This window comes from Homo sapiens, chromosome 11, assembly GCF_000001405.40.
Source record: "Homo sapiens chromosome 11, GRCh38.p14 Primary Assembly".
Classification (NCBI taxonomy): Eukaryota; Metazoa; Chordata; class Mammalia; order Primates; family Hominidae; genus Homo; species Homo sapiens.
Window position 1 is genome coordinate 109858625 of NC_000011.10, and position 2024 is coordinate 109860648.

At 38.8% G+C, this 2024-nt stretch overlaps 1 long non-coding RNA gene across 1 annotated transcript, besides 1 other annotated feature; it reads right to left on the reverse strand.

Moving 5' to 3' along the window:
* Positions 825 to 2024: an enhancer, noted in NCBI's record as "CDK7 strongly-dependent group 2 enhancer chr11:109730175-109731374 (GRCh37/hg19 assembly coordinates)". NCBI's record gives its function as "activates an origin of replication core promoter dependent on BRD2, BRD4, P300/CBP, MED14 and CDK7 cofactors, with strong dependence on CDK7, by STARR-seq in HCT116 cells {active_cell/tissue: HCT116}" and the evidence as "EXISTENCE:reporter gene assay evidence [ECO:0000049][PMID:35650434]".
* Positions 935 to 1963, reverse strand: LOC105369483 (uncharacterized). Its single transcript, XR_948003.3, has 3 exons — positions 1882 to 1963; positions 1591 to 1761; positions 935 to 1509 (listed from the first exon to the last, which is right to left on the reverse strand). It is a non-coding gene; the product is annotated as an uncharacterized LOC105369483 (long non-coding RNA).

The window sequence follows — 2024 nt, forward strand, 5'->3', positions numbered from 1 at the left end:
TAAGGGACTCACCCAGTGTCTAGCTAGTACATGGCAGAGTCAGGAATCCAATCCAGATGATAGGACTCCCGACCCAGTGCCCTCTCCACGGTACCAAAACCACCTCTGTGCTGTTAATGTTAAGTGAGCACTGAGAGAAATTCCTATGGCAATTGAGAAGATGGTTAAAACAATGTCAATAAAGTGGTTAAAAAAAAAAAAAACCTCATGAATGAAGTAAAACAGAAAAAAAAAGGTAGGATATTATTCAAAACAATGTTATTGGAGACTTCTTTTCCATACACTATCTCACTGAATCTCTACAACAATCCTTTGAGACATAATTAGCCCCATTTTACTGTTGAGAGAAATGAAACTTGGAGTGGTTAAAACAAAAACTTATAGAATGTGCCAAGATTAGTAAGAGGAAACATTAGGATTCGAACTGATAGAATCAGTTCTATCTGATTTCAAAATCATTGCCTTTAATCAAAGAGAGAAGATTTCCAGATGAGAGAAAAAACATGAGTTCCTTACTAATTTTTTAGGTGAATAACAAAGACTGAGTGTGAAATAAACAGAGCAAATTCAGGGAGATGGAGTACAGGCAGGGAGGACCCAGGAAAGGAGGGGAGGAGGAAAGGAATCTGTGAGGTGGATGGAGACGACAAGAGTAATAGCTTAGAGAGAGAGCACCCTTTGGTTTCCTTTAAATCAAGGAGACTTTTGCTTATACATTCTCTTTATTCCAATGAATTTGAGCAGAATCTTCCTCCTTTTAGATGTCTTTTTTTCTAAGAATTTGATTTTAATTTCTGTGGCTAACTCCTGCCAGATAATTAGTATCCAGGGGGATGCAGGAAGAGTTCATTTACCTCCTCAAAAGAAATGGTTCAATCCTGAATCATAATGGAAACTGACTCACTGCAGAATCAATCATGGTGATGACCAAGGCCATAGCGGTCTCACTGAAGGCCAGAATCCCTGACACTGCTCATTCACAATACACTAAGATAAAAGTTCAAGGCGGTGACTAAGAGCAACTCTGAGACTATGTTTAAACAAAAGGTTGTATGGGTCTGTGAGCTCAACTTTATGGACATCTTTAAAGAAGGCCTCTAAAGGCTTTTGAGAAAAAGAATTGGCCTTTGAATATCTTGAATTTTAATTAAATTGAATGACCTAAATACAATTTATTGTAGAGTACAGGAGATATCTTTATTTAAATAGAAATCACTATTGATTTCTACATTTTGTAGGGGCATGTTATTAAGCACTTATCTGTGAGTCCTCCAAAGAACAATCTTTCATCTGACCAAGCTATTTTAAAGACTGATCTCTAAACACGTGAGAGAAGGAAGCAGAGTCTAGTCTTCTCACCAATGACTCTGGGAAATAAGATGAGGCTCCTTCCAGGAGCTATCAGGCATCCAGCCTCAGGAGTAGCCTATATCCTTCAAGAGAATTCAGAAGGGATTCATGGGGCACCAGGCTCTGCTTTTACTTTTCCCCAGCATTCTTTCCATTCTCCTGCAATGACAGCAACAGAAAAACTTCTAATCTACAGAAATTCTGCACCTTCCAAAAACTTGATCTATAGATGCCAAAAACCTGCATGGGCAGAATCGTCCAGTCCTGATGAGAAACAATGATGAGGAAGGATCTGAGTTGGAGCTGCTTCCTTAGGATCTGCAAGCTGAAAAATTGCTTCTCAACAATCCCAATGGTTAAGTATCATCAGGCAACCAGCTCTTTCCCTGCTGCCGCATAAAAGACCGTCCCCTGTAGAGAAGACAAATGACCCAGATACAATTTCTGGTGATTCCTAAAGTCAAAGTTTCCTTTGCCTACTCTTGGGTAATTAAGTGGTTGTTGCCCCAAAACAATAAATAGTATTTCTACCTCTGTTTCCTGGTTCACTCTTCTGACCAGTATATTGGAATAATGGACTTAGTAATAAAGACACAAATCCTGAAGATTTAAATTGCAGATCCAGAGCTTTCTAATTCCATTTAATGTGATAACCTCAGGCATTTGGGTCAACA